Here is a 22,383-nt window from a genome sequence, read left to right as displayed (position 1 = left end):
CACCAACAAGCCCGGCTAATTTTTGTAGGTCTCGCTATGTTGCCCAGGCTGGTCTCCAACTCCTGGGCTCAAACGATCCTCCCGCCTTGGCCTCCCTAAGTGCTGGGACTGTAGGCATGAGCCACCGTGCCTGGCCATGCCCAATCTTTCTTACTGCAGTTGGTGATACATGGTTTTTGTTTTCTCTATACATGTATTTTTTGGTGGTGTGTTTAATATCTGTCTTTTCCCAGACTGTCGCCTCCGTGAAAGCAGGAACCTTGTCAGTTTTCTCTCCAAGTTATCCCTCCAACGCCTAGCACAGTGCCTGGCAAATGTAGGAGCTCAACAGGGTTTGCGGAATTATTATGTGTATGTCTGAAGGAAGGATGTTGGCAGTGCGCCCAACGTGTGAGGGGAACCCCACTCTCCAAGGTTCCAGTGGCTTTAAAGGTGTCCTCGAGAAAATCAGAGGAACAGGGGGATGCTTGTTTTCCTTCCTTCCTTCTCTCTCTCTCTCTCTCTCTCTCTCTCTCTCTCTCTCTCTCTCTCTCTCTCTCTCTCTTTTTTGCTTTAAAGTATGCTGAAAGGACACTTTAAACCAAGTCTGAATGGCTCGGCAGGACTGGGGCGCGGGTGCTGGCAGGAGCCGGAGAGGCGACATCTGGCCATGGGAGCATTTGTTTCAAAGTTCAAGGCCGTTCGCTCAGGGTCAAGGTTAGTCCGGCGGGCCGTTCGGAGACCAGCCCCAGCGTGCCAGGACCGTTTCCGGGGCCTGGCCGGGGCGTTGCCGCGGGGTCGGGGACCAGCACGAGTGCTGAGTCACGCCCCGCCCGGGAGCGCCTCGGGTCAGTAACTCGGGAAGACGACCAAGCGGGAGCGGGAGCGGGAGCGGGAGCCGGAGCGAGAGCGCGCGGGCGCGGCCGACAGGTGAGATCGCGCCGCCAGGCGGGCTCTCGAGACCCCGGGCGCCCCGGGCGGGACCGGGACCCGGAAGAGGGGCGAGCGGATTAGAGGCCTGGCTCACGCCGCGTCTGGCGTGGGGAGGTCGGTGCGCGCAGTTGTGGCGCTGCGAGGAGAGGGATACTCGACTCAGGCCCGCCCCTCTCTGTCTCCCCCAAAAAACGCAACAGGGAGATGTGCTCCTGGCCGAGGGCAAAGAAAACTCCACCCTCCTGGTTTGGCCCCTAAATCCCTGCTAAGTTTTCCTAAGGAAGATGGGCTTAGGCCGGGAAGGGCGAACCGGGGAAGAGGGAACACGGGGCGGGTGTAACCCGGATCTTGCGAGGACCGTCCGAGGGTCCGCTGGGTAGAAGCGGCCGGTCCGGACAGAAGCAGGTGTGAGAGGAAAGGGAGAAACCTCAGTCTCTAAGAGGAAAGAAACTGGAGTCAACCCAGTGCCCATAGGCTCGGGGGAGCTGGGGGGTGCAGCACTAGGAAGTCTGCTTCTCCCTTCCCGAAGCCCTGGGTGCTGCAGGGACAAAGACCAGCGGTGAGTAAACTAACTCTGATGGGACGCGTGCAGTCCACCTGGAACTGAATTAGTGGCCTATATTGGGGCTCTCCTTCCAACACCACCTGATCAACACACCCTACCTTTCCCTACAAGGAGAGTCTTTTTGACCCTGGAATTTAAGGTGAGGATGGGGAGTGGTGAGGTCTCTTGGGGGCTGATGATCCTGTAGGAGGACAGGCATAGGGCAGAGAGTCAGATATAGTTTGGGATGGGACTTGCAGGTTTCTGGACTGTGCACCTGTGTTCAAAAGCCTGTATCAGGTTCCAGTGTGCGTGCATGCACCTGCCAGAGAGCCCCGGGATCTCAGATCACACCTGCCCTCACCCCAGCACCTAGAGAGGAGTTCTCCAAGGAGCACAGTGTGTCACCAAGAAGAGGGCACTGAGCCCCAGCCAGGGTGGGCTGGGCAGGCTTAGCACTACCTAGCCCAGAAGTGATGGGCTGGGCAGGCCGGTGGACTCCAGGGCCAGCCTGACTTTTGTCTGGTGGCCAAATGAAGCCAGCGTCCAGGTACAGGTGGTGGGCAGACCATGGGGACCACAAAACTGGCTCTGAGGAGGATGGACAAATTGCTTGGCCTAGGTTTTCTGTGCGGGAGTGAATATGACATCCAGATGAACCTGTCTGCCCCAGAGCTGCCCTCCCCTGGGGATAAAAGGAGGCTGCCTCCCTTAGACTTTGAGTCCCTTTTCAGAAACTGGTCTTTTGGGGGTTCTGTTCTTCAAGTAGTCCCTGAGGGGCTGGCCATGGAGTGTCCCAGGAAGGGAGGCCGCCCAACCGTCTCCATCCTGCTGTGTCCCGCAGGTGGAGGAAACCTCCATGGTGCTGTGAGTCGTGCTGTAGTGGCCTTCTTATCCGGGACGGCCACTCTGGGAATGTGGCTCTCCAGAGGCTGATGTTGAAACCTACCCTTTGTGTGAGCCATGACGACTCAAAAAGCATCGTGTTTTATTTGTAATATTTGTGAAGCAATACTGGAGCAACTCTGGGATGACATTCTTGCTTTGATCAGAGCCCACACGGTTCCTGCTGTGTGTCTTCTGAGGCACAACCTCTGAACAGCTTTGGCATAAATGTAACTTCCTGGTTTTTCAGTAGTCCTATGGGCTGCTTATTGTGGAATAATACCCTTGAGATCAGGGTGGATGCTCTTGGCAGAGAAAACAGGATTGACTGAGCAAATTTTTGTGTAAATCAGATTGTGTGTGTGTGTGTCTGTGTGTATGTGTGTTGTGGCAGGGAGCAAAGGTAAAGTTACTGAGGGGTTCCTGGACAATCAGGGTTTGTTCCGCTCTCTTAGGCCTTCTTTTAAGCTAACATTCTTGAACCTAGACAGACATAGTTAAGATTCTCTGTGATTCCCACTGGGGCTTTGGTGTTCAGTTCAAAATCAGATGGTGGATTTAGCAGTTCCTCAAAAAGTTAAACTTCAAGTTACCATATGACCCAGCAATTCCATACCTAAATATATACTAAAGAGGACTGAAGACTGGTTCACACAAAAACCTGTACACAAATGTTCATAGTGGCGTTATTCACATAGTCAAAAGGTGGAAACAACCCAAGTGCCCGTCAGCTGATGAGTGGATAAACAAAATGTGGTCTATTCATACACCAGTAATGGACTGTTTTTCAGCCAGGAAAAGGAATGAAGCACTGATAACATGCTACAACTCGGATGAACCTTGAAAACATGATGATCAGTGGAAGACGTCGCAAACAAAAAGCCACATAGTGTATAATTCCATCTACATGAATTGTCTAGAACAGACAAATCTATAGAGACAGAAAGAACATTAGTAGCTACCCAGGGCTAGGGTAGGTGGGGTACAGGATTTATTTTGGGGGTGATGGAAGTGTTCTGGAATTAGATAGTTGTGATGGTTGCACAACCTGGTGAATACACTAAAACCCACTGAACTTACATCTTTTTTTGAAATTTAAATTAAAAAAAATTTTTTTTTGAGACAGAGTCTTGCTCTGGCGCCCAGGCTAGAGTGCAGTGGCATGATCATGCCTCACTGCAACCTCGACCTCCTAGGCTCAAGCGATCCTCCCACCTCAGCCTCCTGATATCAGGGACCACAGGCATGTGCCACCATGCCTGGCTAATTTTTGTATTTTTTGTAGAGATGGGGTTTCACCATATTGCCCAGGCTGGTCTGGAACTCCGGAGCTCAAGCAATCTGCCTGCATTGGCCTCCCAAAGTGTTGGGATTAGAGGTGTGAGTCAGCCTACATCTCATTTTTTTTTTTTAAAAGATGGGGTCTCATCTAGGCTGGAGTGCAGTGGTGCAATCATAGCTCACTGTGAACTTACATCTTAAGTGGTAAATTGTATATGTGAATTCTATTTTGATTAAAAAATTAGATGGTAAGCGGTCTGTCCTATTATTAAAGACATTATTTCTGCAAAAATGACATATGCTTGTTTGAAAAAAATTCAAACAATACAAAAGCTTAAGGAAGAAAATGAAAACATTATCTATGACCACTATTAGCACTTTGGTTCAGACAGCAGGTTTGATGTGTTGAGAATTGAACTTGGGCAAGTTGTTGAACTTTTTTCCAAAATAAGGAGAAAAAACTCATACCTTAAATCGAAGATATGGGCAAAAGTGCAACAGATGCTAACTGCTGTAATCATTACCTGTATATGTGTATACATACCGAGGTGGATGTGTCTTATTGGCCATAAATGGGATTAGATCTTTCATGTGGTTCTGTGGCCTGACTTTTTGGGACTGGGCAAACTAATCTGCAACATATATTTTATATATATATATATAAAACGTGGCTGCTGTGTATTCATTGCTACTCTGTGCCAGGCACCATGCTAAAATGCTTTACGTAAATGATCTCATTGAATCTTTTCTACAGCTCGAAATCACAGTGGCTTACCCCTGTAATTCCAGTGCTTCGGGAGGCTAAGGCAGGAGGATCCCTTGAGGGGCTAGGAGTTCAAGATCAGCCTAGGCAACATAGTGAGACCCTCATCTCTACAAAAAAAAAAAAAAAAATTAGCCAGCTCAGGAGTTCAAGGTTATAATGAGTTATGATCATGCCACTGCATTCTGGCCTGGGTGATAGAGCAAGACCCTGTCCCTAAGAAAATTAAAAATAAGTAAATAAATAAATAAATATTGCCTGACTTTTTCTTTTCTTTTTTTTACTTTTGAGACAGGGTCTCACATTGTTGCCCAGGCCGAAGTGCAGTGGTATGAAGCACTGATCCATGCTACAACTTGGATGAACCTTGAAAACATGTTTTGTGTAAATCAGATTGTGTATGTGTGTCTTTGTGTGTGTGTGTTGTGGGAGGGAGCAAAGGTAAAGTTACTCACTGCAGCCTCAAACTCCTGGGCTCAAGCAGTCCTCCTGCCTTTGCCTCCTGAAGTGCTAGGATTATAGGCAGGAGCCACCACACCCAGCCCTTGCCTGACTTTTTCATGGACAGACTTTTTGTATAAAAACGTCATTCACAGGCTGGGCACAGTGGCTCGCACCTATAATCCCAGCACTTTGGGAGGTCGAGGCAGGCCGATCACTTGAGGTCAGGAGTTCGAGACCAGCCTGGCCGACACGGCGAAACCCTGACTCTACTAAAAATACAAAAAACAATTAGCCGGGCATGATGGCACATGCCTGTAGTTCCAGCTACCTGGGAGGCTGAGGCAGGAGAATTGCTTGAACTCAGGAGGCAGATGTTGCAGTCAGTGAGCTGAAATTGAGCCACTGTACTCCAGCCTGTGCAATAGAGTGAGACTCCATCTCAAAAACAAAACAAAACATCACTCACCCTTTAAAAACAACTGGCTACACAGTACTGCATTGTATGGGTTTATAATATTTTATCCTGTAGCCTCTCATTGGTGGCAGTTTCCATTGATTGATGGAGTGTCACACAGGTGGAGGTTTGCACAGCACTACTGCTATGTTAGAACATACAACTGGGCATCCACTAATTCCATACGTGCATTTTCATCTCCTACAGGGTGTGTGGCTGGAAATGCAGCTCCATGGCTTAAGCCCTTGCTTTAGGTGTCTGGCCAAGTAGATCATGGCCAAGCAGAGGGGAGTTCACTGTTTTCTGGGGCCAGGCAAGAACCGACACTGGCAGAGCCAAAGAGAGTCGGCATGTCCAAGAGTATTGGGCAAGGGGCTGCCAAAGAGGCAGGGTGAAATCTGCTGGAGAGTCACTGGCCTCCCTATTCCACAAGTAAGCGTGGCAGGGGTCAGTAGAGGAGAGAGAAGAGAGAGAGAGCAGATTGCAGGAGAGGCCTCAGGCAGCCTGAAGAGGAAAAGTGCCTCCCCTCCCTGGCCCTGCTCTGGTCTGGGTGTCCCCTCAGGCCCCAGGCCCTTCACAGGGAACCCCAGATAAGCAATTTGCCTTCCTTGGGTGAGGCAAGAGTTTGCCCTTTCGGGGAAGCAGGTTGATGATACTAGGGGCCTGGGGGTCAAGGGCTTGGCTCCTTTGGTCAACTCATTGCCCCTGAGGTCCACTCTGGGGTCACTAGACTTTCTTTCCCTGGAGGAAACCCCATGAAGGGCCCGGAGCAGGCTTGTATGTCCACCTGATTGTCAAAGCTGCCCTGGCATGGCAGGCTGTCTGTCTGTCGGCCCCTGTCACCTGTCCTCTAAGCCTCTCCACCTTCTGCCACAGGTGCCCTGAACTCTACCTGCCTCCTCCCTTCCTGCCACTGGGCCTCTGGCCCAAGTTGTTTCCTCTGCTAGGAAGGCCCCCTGATCTCAGCTCTTTTTCAGGGCTCTAGGCTGTCCTTTTTGAGTGTCCCTGGGTGCTCCAGTGTGACCTGACGCACAGTGGACTCCCCTGTCCCTATCCCCGGCCAGCTGCGTAGCCCCTCTCAGGGGCCATGCCCAGCTAACTTGGAAGTGGGGCTTTCTGGGTGTTTTCTTGACCTCATCCCTGGCTGACAGCCCCAAGGGTAAGACCCAGCACAGAGGGTTGCACGCTGCCAGGGGCTGGTGAAACACACGCCACCCACGGCCTGCCTCATCACTGCCTACATTCTCAGGCCCTGCGCAGCTCCTGGTGTGCACTGCTACCTCTGGCTGGGCCTGTGGGCCCTCCTGGGTCCTGGTCCCTAGGAGACATTCCCTTCTGGCCCAGTTGGCAGATTCAGCCTGAGGTACGCTTGGGATTAGCTCTAGACAACCCTTCTGAGGGCTTAGAGGAGCCAGGGTGGCCCTGCCTGCCGGGGGGTTGTCTTGGGTCCTAATCTCTACGAGGGCTCAGCCTCCTCATCTGTGAAATGGGTATGTTCAAGCCTCAATGCTTTGGGGACCATTTGACCCACGAGAAACAACTTTAAATTCCCTCCAATCCATTGTGTCAGTGCCCTCCGTCCGCTCTACTGTCCGCCCCCAGGGGAGAAGTTAGGCAGTGGGCATTTGAACACCAATGGGAACAGTGCCCGGAGTTCTAACCAAAAGCTGCCCCATAAGTGTGGGATGATTTGGGGACCGTCTTGGGGAACCACCACCATGTCTTGGAAACCAGTGTGTACGAGGACAGCTCAGGATATTATAGCTGGTTGGGCCTTATAGTCCCCTCCCATTATAGGGGGTAAATTGAGGCCTAGAGAGGGAAGGGGTTGTGCCCCAGACCCGCAAAGATGATCAGGGCAGTGCAGTGGCCTTCCAGCGGCCTGAGGGTCCCAGATGAGCTGGAACACACTTCCTTATGAGGCTGTTCAGTGGCTTGATGTCTATCCTTCAAGGTTGACCTCAGAGTCTACTTCCTCCTTCGCTGACACCCGCTCCAGTCCCCCTTCCTGAAGCCCACAGCAGCTGTTGAGCCTCTGGGGCTGCTTTCTGTATAGTGTGAGTTTTGTTTCTTTTTCTCAGCATCTCCCCCCAGCAGCCTGGCTTATTTCTGCCTCTCTTTAGGGCTCAGCACAGGCCAGGAGGAGGGTTGATTGCTTGTCACCTCTCAGGGTCTCAGCTGCAGTCAAGAGTGCCCCTCAATGGGCTGTGCGGCTCCTCCCACACCAGCAGCCCTCTGCCTGCCTGAGGCCCACACTGCAAGCATCCTAATTTGGGGTTCTGCTGGGCTGGAGGCAAGGCCTCTGGTGCAGCCCCAGGCCAGCCCCTGGGCCCTCCTCTGTCTGGGGCAGACTCTGGGATGCACAGGTAACCCTGTTTACCAGCCTTCCAGGCTGGCTTGGGGAGCCCAGGCAACTTTGCTGCTGTAGGGCCCAAGGCTGTTGAGTTGGATAAAAGGCAACTTTATACAAATATAAAAATATAAATTTATTTAATGTGTGTATACACAGGAGCCTTCAGAAGGAAGACCCGACCCCCAAAAGAGGTACAGAAGCTTATATACCATCTTGAGGTCATACAAAGAAATGGGGACTGGGTGCAGTGGTTCATGCCTGTAATCCCAGCACTTTGGGAGGTTGAGGTGGGAGGATCACTTGAGCCCAGGAGTTTGAGACCAGCCTGGGCAACAAAAGGAGACCCCCATCTCTACCAATATTTATTATTTTTATTGTTTTATTTTTTTGAGATGGGGTCTCACTCTGTGGCCCAGGCTGGTGTGCAGTGGCATAGTTACGGCTCACTGCAGCCTTGACCTCCCTGGCTCAAGTGATCCTCCCACCTCGGCCTCCCAATTAGCGGGGCCTATAGGTGCCCATCACCACGCCTGGCTTTTTTTTTTTTTTTTTTTTTTTTTTTTTTTTTTGTAGAGACAGAGTCTCTCTATGTTACCCAGGCTGGTCTGGAACTCCTGGGCTCAAAAGATCCTCCTTCCTCAGCCTCCCAAAGTGCTGGGATTACAGGCGTGAGCTGCTACACCCAGCCCCATCTCTACAAGTAATTAAAAAATTAGCCAGGCATTGTAGCATATGGTTGTGGCCCCTCCTTCCTACTCCATGATCACAGTCTTAGTTCACACCACATTTGTCTTAGTCTGTTTTCTGCTGCTACAGCAGAATACTACAGACTAGGTAATTATAATGAACAGAAATGTATTGGCTCATGGTTCTGGAGGCTGGGAAGTCCAAGATCAAGGGCCCAGTGTCTGGTGAGGGCCTTCATGCTGAGTCATCCCATGGTGGAAGGCAAAAGAGAGAGCGAGAGAGAGGAAGAGCTTGAACTTGCAGCCTCAAAGCCCTTTTATAATTGGTATTAATCCATTCATGAGGGTGGAGACCGTATGACCCAAACACCTCCGATTAGGCCCCACCTCTTAACACTGTTCCTTTTTGGGAGACATATTCAAACCCTAGAAGCAGAATTTTGCAGGATTCTTGTCGTAACCTGCTAATTGACCTCCTTAGACCTGGACCTTAAGTTGGTGACCTGTGAGCTGGGCTGAATCTGGTTGCGGTGTTTGTTTAGTGCAGTGCTTAAAGAATGTTTTTTGTTGTTCCTTTAGATGTGGCCTATGCTTGCTGGTTCCCCACAGGTGTGCCCACTGTTTCTTGTTATTGCACCTTTTCCCAGCTTCTCACATCATTGACATTGCCCACCTGGTTCTTTGACTTTGTAAGGTCTGCCCTTATAAGGGCAGGGACCATATCTGCCTGTCTGACCACAGGATACACAACACAGAGCATGTCAAAAAGCAGGAGTTCAATTCATATATGTTGTTGAGTGAACATTATTCCCCTCTTCAAAAGTCTTTTTTTTCCTCCTGCCCCACTGCAATCTCTCCCAAAAGTCTTTGATGGAATATATCAAGTAAAAAACAAATGTGCAGAACACTTTGTTTAATGGGTGCAAAAAATAATCGTGATTATAGTTGCATAAACTATCTCTGGAAGGAGTCATCCAAACTTGTTACGTAACAGTGGATGCCTCTGGAGAAGGGAACTTGGTGTTTGGGGAATGGGCTGGAAGTGGGATACCCCCTTGTTCCTTCTGAATTTAATTCAAATTTTATAAAATTGGAGTTTCATTAATCAAAGATTTACCTCATCTAAAAAGGTCAATTCATGATCGAGGCCTCTCTCACTGTGGGTCCTCCCAGCCCTCCCAGCCTCCCTGACTCTGATATGCTCTCCTCTTTCTTCCCAGCAGTGCCTGATTTGAGATGGGGTCCCAGGTCTCGGTGGAATCGGGAGCTCTGCACGTGGTGATTGTGGGTGGGGGCTTTGGCGGGATCGCAGCAGCCAGCCAGCTGCAGGCCCTGAACGTCCCCTTCATGCTGGTGGACATGAAGGACTCCTTCCACCACAATGTGGCTGCTCTCCGAGCCTCCGTGGAGACAGGTAATGTGCTCCCGTCTGGGGCTGTCTCTGTGAGGGGGGTCTTGTCTCTGCTCTGGGGCTTGATTTTAGGGCTGGGGGTGGTTTTCTCCATTTAGGGCCAAGTGCCTGCATTCCACTGTCAGACAAGTTCTGGAGAAGCTCAAGGTCTTTGGTCTTAAGTAGCCACCACAATGAGACCCTAGAAGTAAAAGCTTGAGCTTTTCTGACGGTCTGAGGCCCAGATTGGCATTTTAGGAAGTAGGGGTACCCCAGGCATACCTAATGGCCCGACGCTTTGGTCAAGGGCACCCCTGTTGGTTTGCAGCTCGTGAAAGGTTCTGAGTCACTCTGGCTTCCCGTGGGCAGCCTGGCTCTGCCCTATGACCTCTTCTGTGTCCCTTCCCCAGGGTTCGCCAAAAAGACATTCATTTCTTACTCGGTGACTTTCAAGGACAACTTCCGGCAGGGGCTAGTAGTGGGGATAGACCTGAAGAACCAGATGGTGCTGCTGCAGGGTGGCGAGGTGAGTGAGGGCCAGCCCGGCTGCCAGCTGGCTCAAGGGCCCTCTGCAGGGCCTGGGCGGGATCCTCCAGGGTCAAGAGAGAGCTAGGCTGGGGGCGGTGGCTCACACCTGTAATCTCAGCACTGTGGGAGGCCAAGGCGGGCGGATCACCTGAGGTCAGGAGTTTGAGACCAGCCTGCCCAACATGGCAAAACCCTGTCTCTACTGAAAATACAAAAATTAGCTGGGTGTGGTGGTGGGCGCATGTAATCTCAGCTACTCAGGAGGCTGGAGAATTGCTTGAATTCGGAGGTGGAAGTTCCAGTAAGCTGAGATTGCACCACTGCACTCCAGTCTGGGTGACAGACAGAGACTCCATCTCAAAAAATAAAAATAAAAAAAAGAGAATGCTGTCTGTGAGCCCCAAGCCCTGCCTGGTGCTGGGCAGATAGCGGATTCCTCATAAACAAAGGCTTGACCACAGCAACCACAAGAATATGGTGGCAGATATTTCTTGTGTAATTCCTGCATGCCAGGCCCTGTTTGTAGCCTTTACGTAAGTCTCATGAATGTTTACCGTGCCTCTATGGCGAAGGTGGTATAACTTCATTTTACAGAGAAGCTAAAGGGTTAAATGGCTTGCTTAAGATCCCACAGCTGGTAAGAGACTGAACTAGGATTTGAACCCATGCAATTTTAGCCCAGAGCCCATGCTCTAAAAGCCAGCGTCCCAGACAACTCCCAGGCCTGGCCAGCCCTCGGCTCTGTCTAGAACAAAAAGGCACACGCATGGTCCCACATCCCCCGGATCGGGACGTCACTGGGGCAGAGGTTTCCCTTCACTCATTTGTGTGTTCCCCCACCTCACATGTGCATCATGGAGCCTGGAACACACCTGCCATGACTTCAGCTCCATCGATAAGCTGCCACCAGCTCTGGATGAGTGTCATGTCCAGCCCAGCCCCATTTGGTGTTTGAAGCTAAGGGGGCGTTGACAAAAGGAAACACAATTCCTTTCCTTGATGAGTTGTGATTTCGTGTGACCCAGCCCTTCTTGAATTAATGGGGCCAGATAGTTTCCTGGTTGGAAAGATTACTGAGTGTCCCCTGGTCCTGCAGTCTCCAGCCATGCGTTTCAGAGCCCTGGAAGATTCCATGAGGGCATCTTGGAGGTTCAGGGGAAAGTAGGGGCTGAGTGGAGTCCAGGCCCTCCAGCCCCTCCCATTGGAGCAGCTCTGTTTTTGTCAACTTTATATATTTAGGCTCCAAACAAGATTTCCTTTTCTTTGTTTACAATTTTTTTAATTAAAAAAAAATTTTTTTAATTGTTTTTGAGATGGAGTTTCGCTCTTGTTGCCCAGGCTGGAGTGCAATGGCATGGTCTCGGGTCACCACAACCTCTGCCTCCCAGGTTCAAGCGATCCTCCTGCCCCAGCCTCCTGAGTAGTTGGGATTACAGGCGCATGGCACCACGCCCAGCTAATTTTTGTATTTTTAGTAGAGATGGGATTTTGCCATGTTGATCAGGTTGGTTTCAAACTCCTGACCTCAGGTGATCCGCCCGCCTTGGTCTCCCAAAGTGCTGGGATTACAGGTGTGAGCCACTGTGCCCGGCCTAAAATTTTTTTTATTTTTAATTTAAAAAAATTAAATTATTTTTTAATAAAATATTTAATAAAAATTAAATTATTTTATTATTTATTTTTAATTTAAAAATTAAATTAATATGGGGTCTTGGTATGTTGCTCAGTGCAGTGGCTGTTCACAGATGTGATGCCACTACTGATCAGTCTTTCTTTCTTTCCCTTTCTTTTCTTCCTGGCGGAGGCAGGAGGAGGGTTCTTCTAAAACACCCGGGAGGTTCTGAGCTAACTCCCGTGGGCAGTGTCCTATCCTGCAGCCCTGCCTCCTGCTTCCAGGCACCCCTCCCACTGCCATGCTGGGTGGCTCCAGTTGCCCCCACATTCTCCACGCGGAGGTAAACTCTACTTCCTTAGGTCTTTCCCCAGGTTCTAGTGCCATCCTTTGGGCTAACCAGTGTGGTGGTTTCACCCCCTCCCATGGGGGCTGCCTCGGGTGCCTAGAGGGGCCTCTTTGCCTGGTTTGTCCCGGCTGGCAGGCCGGGAGTAGGATGCAGAGGCCTAGGCCTGCCCTGCCCTGCCCTACCCTCATCTTTTTTTTTTTTTTTTTTTTTTTTTTTTTGGTTTCTCTCAGGCCCTGCCCTTCTCTCATCTTATCCTGGCCACGGGCAGCACTGGGCCCTTCCCGGGCAAGTTTAATGAGGTTTCCAGCCAGCAGGCCGCTATCCAGGCCTATGAGGACATGGTGAGGCAGGTGAGCTGTGCACTGAAGGCATGGGGCAGTGTGGGCAGATGGAAGGACAGCCTTGGGGATGCCTAGGCCTGCAGCTGGGAGGCCACGGGGTTACTCAGAGCTGCTGGCTGTAGCCATAGAGTTGGAGAGTCACTAGGAAGAGACTTTCCTGGGAAGAGACCTTGAACTTGCTGCTGGAGCCAGGATGTGAGCACCCTAAACCTGCTCATGTTGCCCTTGGTATGTCTCTGACTTTCCTCTCCTGGGGCTTTTCACGGGTCCCTTCCACTCCTGTTTTCATAAGGCTCTGTTTTGTAGAGCAGGCTTAGATCCACAATCTTCCACAGCAATTCTGCGAGGTGGGTGGGAGGAAGCACGTTTGGACTCAAAATGTGGAAAGGGTTCTCTGCCCTCCTTTGGCCCAGGGAGCCACACCACAGGCTGAACCAGCAGACAGAGGTGGATGTGTAGGTGTGTTTCATATGTCCCTGTTTCACATGTCCTCTTCTCCAGGTCCAGCGCTCACGGTTCATCGTGGTGGTGGGAGGAGGCTCGGCTGGAGTGGAGATGGCAGCAGAGATTAAAACAGAATATCCTGAGAAAGAGGTGAGCCAGGCTGCCTTGCCTTGGAGCTCTAAGTGGTTGGCTTTTTTCTGCATTATCTTAGGAACATCAGGAATTTGCTCAGGGCAGAGAAGTCTGGAGCTCTATTCACATAAACTGGGAGTGTGTATTTCTGTTTTGTGCCAAGGTGTGATTCTATAGGGGATTTTTCCTGCAGAGCTGGGATCCTGCTGCACCTGACCTTACGGAGCTGCTCAGGGTGTGTCCTTTCTCAAGGAAAGGTCCTGCCCTCTGCTCCAACTTGGAGGATCAAGCCCAGGGGCAATACCTTGCAAAAGCGGAACTTCTGTGTCACCTTCAGAATTCAGGCCTTTGTGATACAAATGTATATTTGATTACCTCTTGCTGGCAACCAGTATTTGATTACCTCTTGCTGGCAACCAGCTTGGACAAAGACACCTTCAGTTGTTGCTTTGGTCTCTGCCTGATATGGTAGCCCCTGCTCTGAGCAGCCCCATGGTGGTGGGGAGCCTGCAGCAGAGCCCTTTCTGCCCACGCTGGGCAATGACTGAACAGCACTGCCTTCTGCCCATGGGTGGGAACGGGGAGGGGACATCAGCCTGCCCTGTTGCTTTCTCATGCTCAAAAGACAGAGATCCTACCGGGCAACCTAGCGAGAAAGAGGAAATCCTGGCACCCTGTCCAGGCTTGGCAAGGGCTGAGTGAGAAACGTCCTTACAGGTCCTCTAGGCGAGAGCTTGCTTGCGGTTGAAGCCAGATCGGCTTCTGAGAGCCATGTGGGGCCTCTGAATGGATCTTTCTTCCTCAGGGAAAGGCAGGTTGGTTTTGAAAAGAAAAATCAATAGAGGATAACTTAATTATATGGCTGTTCTCTGACAAATTGTTGGAAATTATGATGAGTGATTGATCTAGTTACATTCATTCATTTTGATGTATGAGGGTTCTATAGGGAAAAACCAAACTGTTTTTCTCCCTACTCACTCCACACTTCTGGGATAAGATGTGTGGGTTTTTCCCCCACTGACCAATTCTCTGACACCAGCTGGGTGTCCTACGGTTCAATTCAATTCTGACACTACCTGGCGTTAGCGCAGACCCCACAGGTCAAGGGCTCAGTCCCACGATCCTGCCCCGACTTCAAACACCAGTTGCAAGTCCATAGGTCCCCAGCTTACCCACGCTTCTGTCCCACTTGGCTACAAGATAGAGATTCTCATGACTCTCTCCTTGGGTTAAATAATTTGCTAGAGCAGCTGATGGAAGCCAGGGAGACAGTTTACTTGCTGTTGCTGATTTATGACGAAGGATGTTTTAAAGGATAAAAATGAACATTCAGATGAAGGGGCACATAGGGCGTGGTCTAGAAGGGTCCTGAGCACAGGGGCTTCTGTCCCCATGGAGTTGGGGTGCATCACTGTCCTGGCATGTGGACATGTTCACCAACCTGGAAGCTCTCTGAACCCTGTACTTTAGGGATTTTTATGGAGGCTTCATCAGGTAGGCAAGGTTGATTATGACCTCAATCTCCAGCCCCCTCTCGTCACTGGAGCTGAAAGTTCCAGACTTCTAAGCTGGCTTGGTCTCTCTGGTGACCAGCGATCATCCAGGAGCCCATCAGGAGTAGCTTCATTAGAACAAAAGATGCTCCCATCACCCGGGAACATCCAAGGAGTTAGGAGCTCTATGTCAGACCCTCCCATCACTCAGGACATTACAAAGATCTCAGGAGCTCTGTATCAAGAACCGGCAATGAGGACCAAATATTAGAACAAATGATTCTTAGTACCCCAATTTACAAGGGTTTTAAGAGCTCTGCATCAGGAACTGGGGGCAGAGACCAATATATACTTTTCTTCTTATTTCACAGGGGTCAGACCAGTCTGAAGTAGTAAAAAAGTTCAAGTAACTCAGTAAAATATCCACATGTTTAGGATTTGTAGACAGTAAGGGTAGTAGCAGCCACCCTTTATTAAGGACTTAATATGTGCTGAGTTACATGCTTTGTACGTATTTTTTTGCTCATCATTACAAAATTCCTATGAGTGGGGCTATTGTGCCCATGTTAATGAGCCTTTGGGAGGTGTCCAAGTGAGTATCAGAGATGGGATTTCAACCCAGGCAATTTGATACCAAAGCCCAGGCTTTGAACATGATTGCAACATGAGGTGCCCGGGACGCTTCCCTGTGTTGTCCCAGACAGCAAGTAGACATGCCTGGAAGCACTAATTTTAAACAAGCTTTAATGTTGACATCAGTCTGATTGACTGTTGGAATGCCCATGGCTTGTATAATTATAAGTGCCCAAGGATGCTTGAAGATAATTTTCCAGGTGGCCCTAGGTGAGGTGTAGGTTGTGACATGTTGGCATATTGGTAGTCCTCTGGCCTGGGTGTGGCAGGAGGGTACTGAAAGAGTCCTAGTCTAGAACATGTGGGCTTAAGCCCAGCTCACCACTAATTGGTCCTGGCATTGGACAGATTACTTCTCTGGAGCTTCAGTTTCCTCATCTGTAACCTGGAGGTATGAGTGGAGGTGGACGTTCGTGCAATGATTGTGTTTGAAGACTTGGGGGCTCCTTCTCAGGCCCTGTGGTCGTTTTGTCCTCAGGTCACTCTCATTCACTCCCAAGTGGCCCTGGCTGACAAGGAGCTCCTGCCCTCCGTCCGGCAGGAAGTGAAGGAGATCCTCCTCCGGAAGGGCGTGCAGCTGCTGCTGAGTACGTGCACCCTCACCTCCCTCCCTGCCCTGCCCTGGCCTGGTGAGATGTGGCTTGGAGGCTTGGTGACTGCTTCCAGCAGGAGGGTGGCTATGGTCCACCCCAGGCTCTCTCTTTTCCACTGTGTCCTGGGGTGGAGCATGAAGCGCTCAGAAGAGGCCGTGAACATCAAAGCCCATCTGAGCCTTGTCCAGCTGGAAGTTGTGCCCGTCCCTGGGCAGGGAAGAGGGCCTGGTACTTACGGGATTTCCATGTCCTGGTTATTGCTTTGGATGCAGTGCAGATGGTGGGATGCCTGTCTGCTGAATGATTTTTCTTGAGTGCATCTGAAGGATTTGCCCCAAATAGGATGTCTCTGTGGTTGAGGGAATAGGTTTATTGGTTTATGTTTTGAGAGTGGTGAGGAGTGTGGCCTTCTTGTAGAGCAGGGGACGAGACCCACCCAGCAAATGCTGGAAAGTGAGGTTCTCTTCCAGCGCTGTGGCCCCTACACTTCACTGCATGGGGCCCCAGCCCCCTCACTGTTTGCGGGAGGGTGAGGCACCTGTCCTGTGAAGGGCCCGCATGGCTGCCTCAGCCTCCTTTTGGTAACTGGCTGTGGAGTGCTGCCGTCACTGTCACTTTAGGCAGTGAGTGTAGCGAGCTGGCTTCTCTTTCTCTGGCTTTCCCCTTTGTCGTGGTGCACTTGGAGCGCTCGTCCTGCCTAGTTAGGATGGCACGGCTGGCACTCATAAGAGGCGCGTCTGAGATCTTCCATTAAACAGCTTTTCTGAGAACTTCTTGGGAAACAGCCTCGCTTCCCTCCAGGGGCTTCTTGGAACTTTTCTCCAGAGGGACCCCTCGGGGCCAGATGTCCAGATCAGCTTTGTGGGGCATAGAGTGGACTGAGGGAGGGGCATGGTGGGAAGACAGGGTGCAGCCATTGCCCAGTTGGGCCCCAGAGGTCCAGGCCCTCCCCAGGGTTAGCCTTGGCCTGGGGTCCAGGCTTGATGGGGTCCCTGTCCCCACCAGCCTCCTGGTCATGAACCCCCTTCTAGGTGAGCGGGTGAGCAATCTGGAGGAGCTGCCTCTCAATGAGTATCGAGAGTACATCAAAGTGCAGACGGACAAAGGCACAGAGGTGGCCACCAACCTGGTGATTCTCTGCACCGGCATCAAGATCAACAGCTCCGCCTACCGCAAAGCGTTTGGTGAGCAGGTGCCCAGCCGGGCTTCCCCTGTGCCTCCTTGCTCTCCAGTACCCTCTGAATGCCCTGCAGTGCTTGCCCCCAGGAGTCCACACCTTGCTGCCTTCCCCCTTTCTTCCCAACAGCTCAGACTTTAAATTCAGTGAGGGTCCACCCTTGCTGAGCTCTCCTCAGCTGTGACCATGGCTCGGCCCCAGGTGGCCAAGGTGACCAGAATCTTCTGAAATTAGGGCCGCCCCCTAGTGGTAAGAGATGGGAACAGGCGTCAGAGAGATGACAAAGGTTGGTGGTGTTTCTTTCCCCCTCACCTGAGGACAGAGGAAATTCAGGGTCAGGCCTTCCTCTCTTGGCAGGCGTGCTGCCGCCCCCAAACCCAGATCAAAACATTTGGTCTCTTGAGCTTGGATTGACTGGGGAGTGGGGTTGGTAACATGGCCTCGTTTCTTAAAGCTCAGTATTTGCGTATTTAGCTGGCTGGAGGTGGCAGAGGTGGACTGATGTGTGTTTAAGCCTCCATTTGTGAGCAGGAGACTCAGTGGCCAGGCCTGGTGGTTGCTTTGTGTCCTCAATTCCCTGTCATTTACTCCCAAATGCCCTTCCCTGACAAGGAGCTCCTGCCTTGTGTCCAGCAGGAAGTAATGATCCAATCCCAGGAAAAGGAAGCCAGTCCAGGCTGTGTGTAGCAGTGGGATTGAGGGCTTATAATGGACAGAGATCCCAGAATTTAATACCAAATTGTCCTAATGTTGTATTTTCAAATACAAGTTTTTAAAAGTCCCTTTAAAAAAGCAGTTTGCCATTTATTAAAGCTCTGCATTTATTTTTAATGCTTCAGTTTTGTTTTTTATTTTTATTTTTTGAGACAGAGTCTTGCTCTGTCATCCAGGCTGGAGTGCAGTGGCGTGATCTTGGCTCACTGCAACCTCCACCTCCTGGGTTCAAGCGACTCTTGTGCCTCAGCCTCCCGAATAGCTGGGATTACGGCTGTATGCCACTAAGCCCGGCTAATTTTTCTATTTTTAGTAGAGATGGGTTTCACCATATTGGTCAGACTGGTCTTGAGCTCCTGGCCTCAAGTGATCTGGCCGCCTCGGCCTCCCAAAGAGTTGGGATTACAGGCATGAGCCACCACACCTGGCCTGCATTTATTTTTAAAATCTCACTTACATTCAAAAGTCAATTCAAGACTCAGCTGATCATTGTAACTTGTTGAGAGTTATGTACATTTCTAAAAGGAGGCTTGTTGGTATTTTGACCCATTTCCACTCTGGCATCAGCAACCTTGCCTCTGCAGGAAGAGTTGTGAGGTAGAGACTTCAGGGGGGAATACATTAGGTGGGAGGGTGGCCTCTAGAGCAGGCACCTCCAGGGGGTGGTCATGCCTCAGGAGGGTGACCTGACCAGCACCTATTGACCAGTGTCTAGAGCTCGCCCTCTCCTCCTCCTGGTGGCCACTTAACACAGCAGCTCAGTGTCTTGGTTTCGGTGTCATTTCTTCTGGCAGAGAGCAGACTAGCCAGCAGTGGTGCTCTGAGAGTGAACGAGCACCTCCAGGTGGAGGGCCACAGCAACGTCTACGCCATTGGTGACTGTGCCGACGTGAGGACGCCCAAGATGGCCTATCTTGCCGGCCTCCACGCCAACATCGCCGTGGCCAACATCGTCAACTCTGTGAAGCAGCGGCCTCTCCAGGCCTACAAGCCGGGTAAGAGAGGCCCCATGTGCTTTGCAGTTTTAATAGAGTTTGGGGTTAAACATGGGGAAGCCTTTTTGGGCTATCCCATACCTGGCCACTAGAACAAACTCTCCAAGCTGGTGATGGAAACATCCCCTTAGAGCTCTTTAAAAATAGGCTGGGCGCGGTGGCTCACACCTGTAACCCCAGCACTTTGGGAGGCCGAGGCGGGCAGATCACCTGAGGTCGGGAGTTCGAGACCAGCCTGACCAACATGGAGAAACCCCGTCTCTACTAAAAATACAAAATTAGCCAGGTGTGGTGGTGCATGCCTGTAATCCCAGCTACTCGGGAGGTTGAGGCAGGAGAATGGCTTGAACCCAGGAGGTGGAGGTTGCAGCGAGCCAAGATCACACCATTGCACTCCAGCCTGGGCAACAAGAGCAAAACTCTGTCTCAAAAAAACAAACAAAAAAAAATCAGGGTCTCACCCACCTTCCTAAAGCGATTTCACATTTCCGGCCCTGAGTCTGAAGGCCTCGGGAAGGATCGGCACTCTGGGAGGTGCAGCCCCAGGCGGTTCAGTGAGGTTCTGGTTGTTTCTGTGTCTCTGCTTGCAGGTGCACTGACGTTCCTCCTGTCCATGGGGAGAAATGACGGTGTGGGCCAAATCAGTGGCTTCTATGTGGGCCGGCTCATGGTTCGGCTGACCAAGAGCCGGGACCTGTTCGTCTCTACGAGCTGGAAAACCATGAGGCAGTCTCCACCTTGATGGAGAGGCCAGGCGGGAGAACTACCGCAGCAGGTGGGCGTACGGACTGCTTGGCGCATGGCACCCGCCTGGCAAGTGCTAGAACTAATGCTATTCTTCTGGAATAAGATGCCAATGATGTGGTGGCTAGAAATGCAACTTGTATAAAACAAAAATGGGAGAGAGAGAGGTATTAAACAAATACCCCCCTTAGAGGATACTTTCTGGGTTTGGAAGGTGTGCTTGCTGTGGTACTGGGTGAGCGGCTCATGTGTGCTGGCTGCATGGTGCTGGGGAGGCCACAGCCAGCCCTTCCTCTGCACCTGCCTCCTCTGGGATGTGCATGTGTGTGTACGTGCTTGTGGTCATGACGCGTGCCATTTAGAGCTCTCAGAGCAGGGCAGATTGCTGGGCTCTGGTGGCCAGTGTCTGTCTGTGAGGGCAGGAAGGAGAGCTGCACATTGAGAACAAAGGAGGGACCTGAGGTGGAGAGAGGCCCAGCACCCCAAATCTCTGCCATCACACGGTCGGGGAGCCCATACATTCTGCAACAACCAGGGACTTCACAGGAGCCTTGTTTTCAATTTGCTAACAGGTGCATAATCCCTGTGCTCCTTAAGCCTCATGGCCTTCCTACATTTCCACTTTATTTGTTTGTTTGTTTATTTATTTTTGAGACAGTCTCGCCCTGTCACCCAGGCTGGAGTGCAGTGGCACGATCTCAGCTCACTGCAACCTACGCCTTCTGGGTTCACGTGATTCTCTTGCCTTAGCCTCCCAAGTAGCTGGGACTACAGGCACGTGCCACCATGCCTGGCTAATTTTTGTATTTTTTAAATAGAGACGGGGTTTCACTGTGTTGGCCAGGCTGGTCTCGAACACCTGACCTCAGGTGATCCATTCGTCTTGGCCTCTCGAAGTGCTGGGATTCCAGGCGTGAGCCACTGCGGCCAGCACATTTCCACTTTTAGATCCTACTCCATACCACAGGTTTCATTTAAGAAGAAAGAGCTAGATAAATGTGCTCTTCTGGTTACCCCACCCTGACAGAGTGCATTTTTACACGGCTAGCAGGGGTTGAGACTGCAGCCTGGCCTGCCAGCCATTGGAGGTGTTTAAGGAAGGGCAGATAATGTGACTCTTTGCGGGGTGCCATCTGCTTACCCATTAGCGAGCAGAGGGGGTTTCTGCGGGTGACCCCCAGCATATTTCTAGGTTACTTATGGGCAGATTTGTAAGTGACAAAACTCCAGCTGATGCTGGGAATGGGGAGAGGGCCCTTGAGGGACTTTGTGGTTTTGTGCTTCTGGTTTCCTGGCCAACCCCAGGGTCACTTGTCTGGAGGCCCAGCTGGGCACTAATGTCTGCCACCGACTATGTTACAGTGTATAAATGATTCCTCTATTTGGGAGAGATCTTCCAATCCAGAGGAGCCCCTCTTGGACTGCCTGGGTTAAATCTGCATAGCAGAAGTGGTTGATGAGTTCATCTGAAGAAATTCAGGCCCCACCTCCCCACCCTGCCCCTCCCTGCTCCCTTTTGATGGTGGCCTCTGGGTACTCGGGCAGAGTCCTTGGGACACCAGCCTCTCTGGGGTTCTCAGGCCATCCCGTTGGGGCTGTCGCCCAGGCCTAAGTGAGTCGTGTGCCTCTATTGGAGGATGGCTGTTCCCCTGGTGGTTGCATCCAAGTATCTGTCTTTCTTTATGGACCACGAAGGGAAGCCCACCTTCCTGGAGGCAGGACCTTCGGCCTAAGAAACACAGGCCCTGGTGCTATCTGACCTGGGGTCCAGCGAGGTGGGAATCCCAGTGTGTGAGCGACAGGCCTTCTTCTATTGACTTACAATATTCTAGAAGGACCTACGTGTGGGGACACAGTTTTCCAAACTGAGGAAAATGTTGCAATAAAAGAATATGTTGTAAGAAAGACACTGGATCTTTTATTTTTTTCCTTTCATTTTCTTTTTCTTAAAAAAACAAAATGAAACCAAAAAAAAGCCTGAATCAAAACCTTTTTAGGAGTAGTTACAGATATTATAGGGATGGGGGCGGGGGGCACTAAAACAAAAGAGAAAAGCACCAGTGAGATGTCTTTCCCATTTTCTTCTCTCCGCCACGGAACACGCACACCAACAGAGCCCAGGCCACTTTTTGCCCTCTTCCCTTGGAAAAAGGAGGAACAGAAGATTTAAGAATTTTGAAAGGATTTTTTTCTTGTGTGAATGTGTGTAAAAGTCAATGCTATAAATCTAAAACGAGGTCTGTTTTTTTAAAAAAGTTCTAAAACAACAGGAGGAAAACACATGGAAAGAAACCCCTCGCGGAGACCTGCTTCCTTACAGATGGAGGCTCTTTTGGAGGAGAGTGTGAAGGGCAGAGGGCTCCCTGCGCCGGCAGGACCTGCCCGGCCACCCTCCACTCCCCTGCCATCACCCCTCCTCTCTCCTTTTAAAAAGCAAAACCCCACTCTTGGGACTCGGGTCGTCCTCCGATCCCTGCTGGAAAGTGCGGCGGCTACTTGGCGTCGAGCTTGGCCATCTCCTGCACGTAGATGCCGATGCTCTCGCTGTCGAAGAGCAGGAAGTACACGTTCTTCAGCGAGGACGCGCTCGAGTCATCAAAGTGGGCTGAGATGGCTTTGAGGGTCACCTGGGCCGCAGTCTGTTTGGGAAAGCAGTTTCTGTGCCAAAGCAAAAGAAGAGCCGATGTCATTTTGGTCCCTGGGACCCATGGGAGCATGAAGTGCCTTTGTTTTTACTGGGTGGGGCCTTGCTGTGTGCAGGGCTAGTCCATGCATGATCTCCTTTGACCCTAGCCAAAGGGACAGCCTGGGGGTGGCAGGTGGGGCATGTTGCCCCCACTTTATAGGTGTCACACTGACTCGGAGAGGCACAATGATTTAATTTGATTAAATTAATTTATTTGTTTTGGGATGGAG

The 22,383-nt window shown here is 51.0% G+C and overlaps 2 protein-coding genes across 3 annotated transcripts in view, besides 3 other annotated features; one reads left to right on the top strand and one right to left on the bottom strand.

Annotated features, from left to right (window-relative positions):
• Positions 527-1,027: an enhancer, noted in NCBI's record as "H3K27ac hESC enhancer chr10:71892372-71892872 (GRCh37/hg19 assembly coordinates)". NCBI's record gives its function as "activates a minimal SCP1, AML or CMV promoter by ChIP-STARR-seq in primed H9 embryonic stem cells {active_cell/tissue: H9 hESC(primed)}" and the evidence as "EXISTENCE:reporter gene assay evidence [ECO:0000049][PMID:30033119]".
• Positions 644-963: a silencer, noted in NCBI's record as "silent region_2439". NCBI's record gives its function as "represses an Ori minimal core promoter by ATAC-STARR-seq in GM12878 lymphoblastoid cells {active_cell/tissue: GM12878}" and the evidence as "EXISTENCE:reporter gene assay evidence [ECO:0000049][PMID:35858748]".
• Positions 796-1,005: a silencer, noted in NCBI's record as "fragment chr10:71892394-71892603 (GRCh37/hg19 assembly coordinates)". NCBI's record gives its function as "represses an EF-1alpha promoter that drives an FKBP-Casp9 reporter gene in an ReSE screen in HepG2 liver carcinoma cells {active_cell/tissue: HepG2}" and the evidence as "EXISTENCE:reporter gene assay evidence [ECO:0000049][PMID:32094911]".
• AIFM2 (AIF family member 2) lies at positions 818-21,372 on the top strand. 2 transcript variants are annotated; one of them, NM_032797.6, is made up of 9 exons: positions 818-909; positions 9,546-9,736; positions 10,123-10,238; positions 12,432-12,551; positions 13,044-13,136; positions 15,723-15,831; positions 16,869-17,021; positions 18,523-18,723; positions 19,314-21,372. In NM_032797.6, the coding sequence occupies exons 2-9, from the start codon at positions 9,559-9,561 to the stop codon at positions 19,463-19,465; spliced, it is 1,122 nt and encodes a 373-aa protein (NP_116186.1). In that variant the 5' UTR covers positions 818-909; positions 9,546-9,558; the 3' UTR covers positions 19,466-21,372. The 2 variants fall into 2 exon arrangements, with proteins under 2 accessions (NP_116186.1, NP_001185625.1); NM_001198696.2 differs by having other exon boundaries at positions 9,543-9,736.
• The window catches only part of MACROH2A2 (macroH2A.2 histone), a 59,437-nt gene continuing 58,414 nt past the window's right edge, over positions 21,361-22,383 (bottom strand). The window contains exon 9 of the mRNA NM_018649.3: positions 21,361-22,125. Within this exon, the coding sequence (NP_061119.1) occupies positions 21,960-22,125 (166 nt within the window). The 3' untranslated portion in view covers positions 21,361-21,959. The remainder of the gene's footprint in view (positions 22,126-22,383) is intronic.

Source organism: Homo sapiens, chromosome 10 (assembly GCF_000001405.40).
Source record: "Homo sapiens chromosome 10, GRCh38.p14 Primary Assembly".
Lineage (NCBI taxonomy): Eukaryota > Metazoa > Chordata > Mammalia > Primates > Hominidae > Homo > Homo sapiens.
This window is presented reverse-complemented; position numbering and strand designations above follow the sequence as displayed.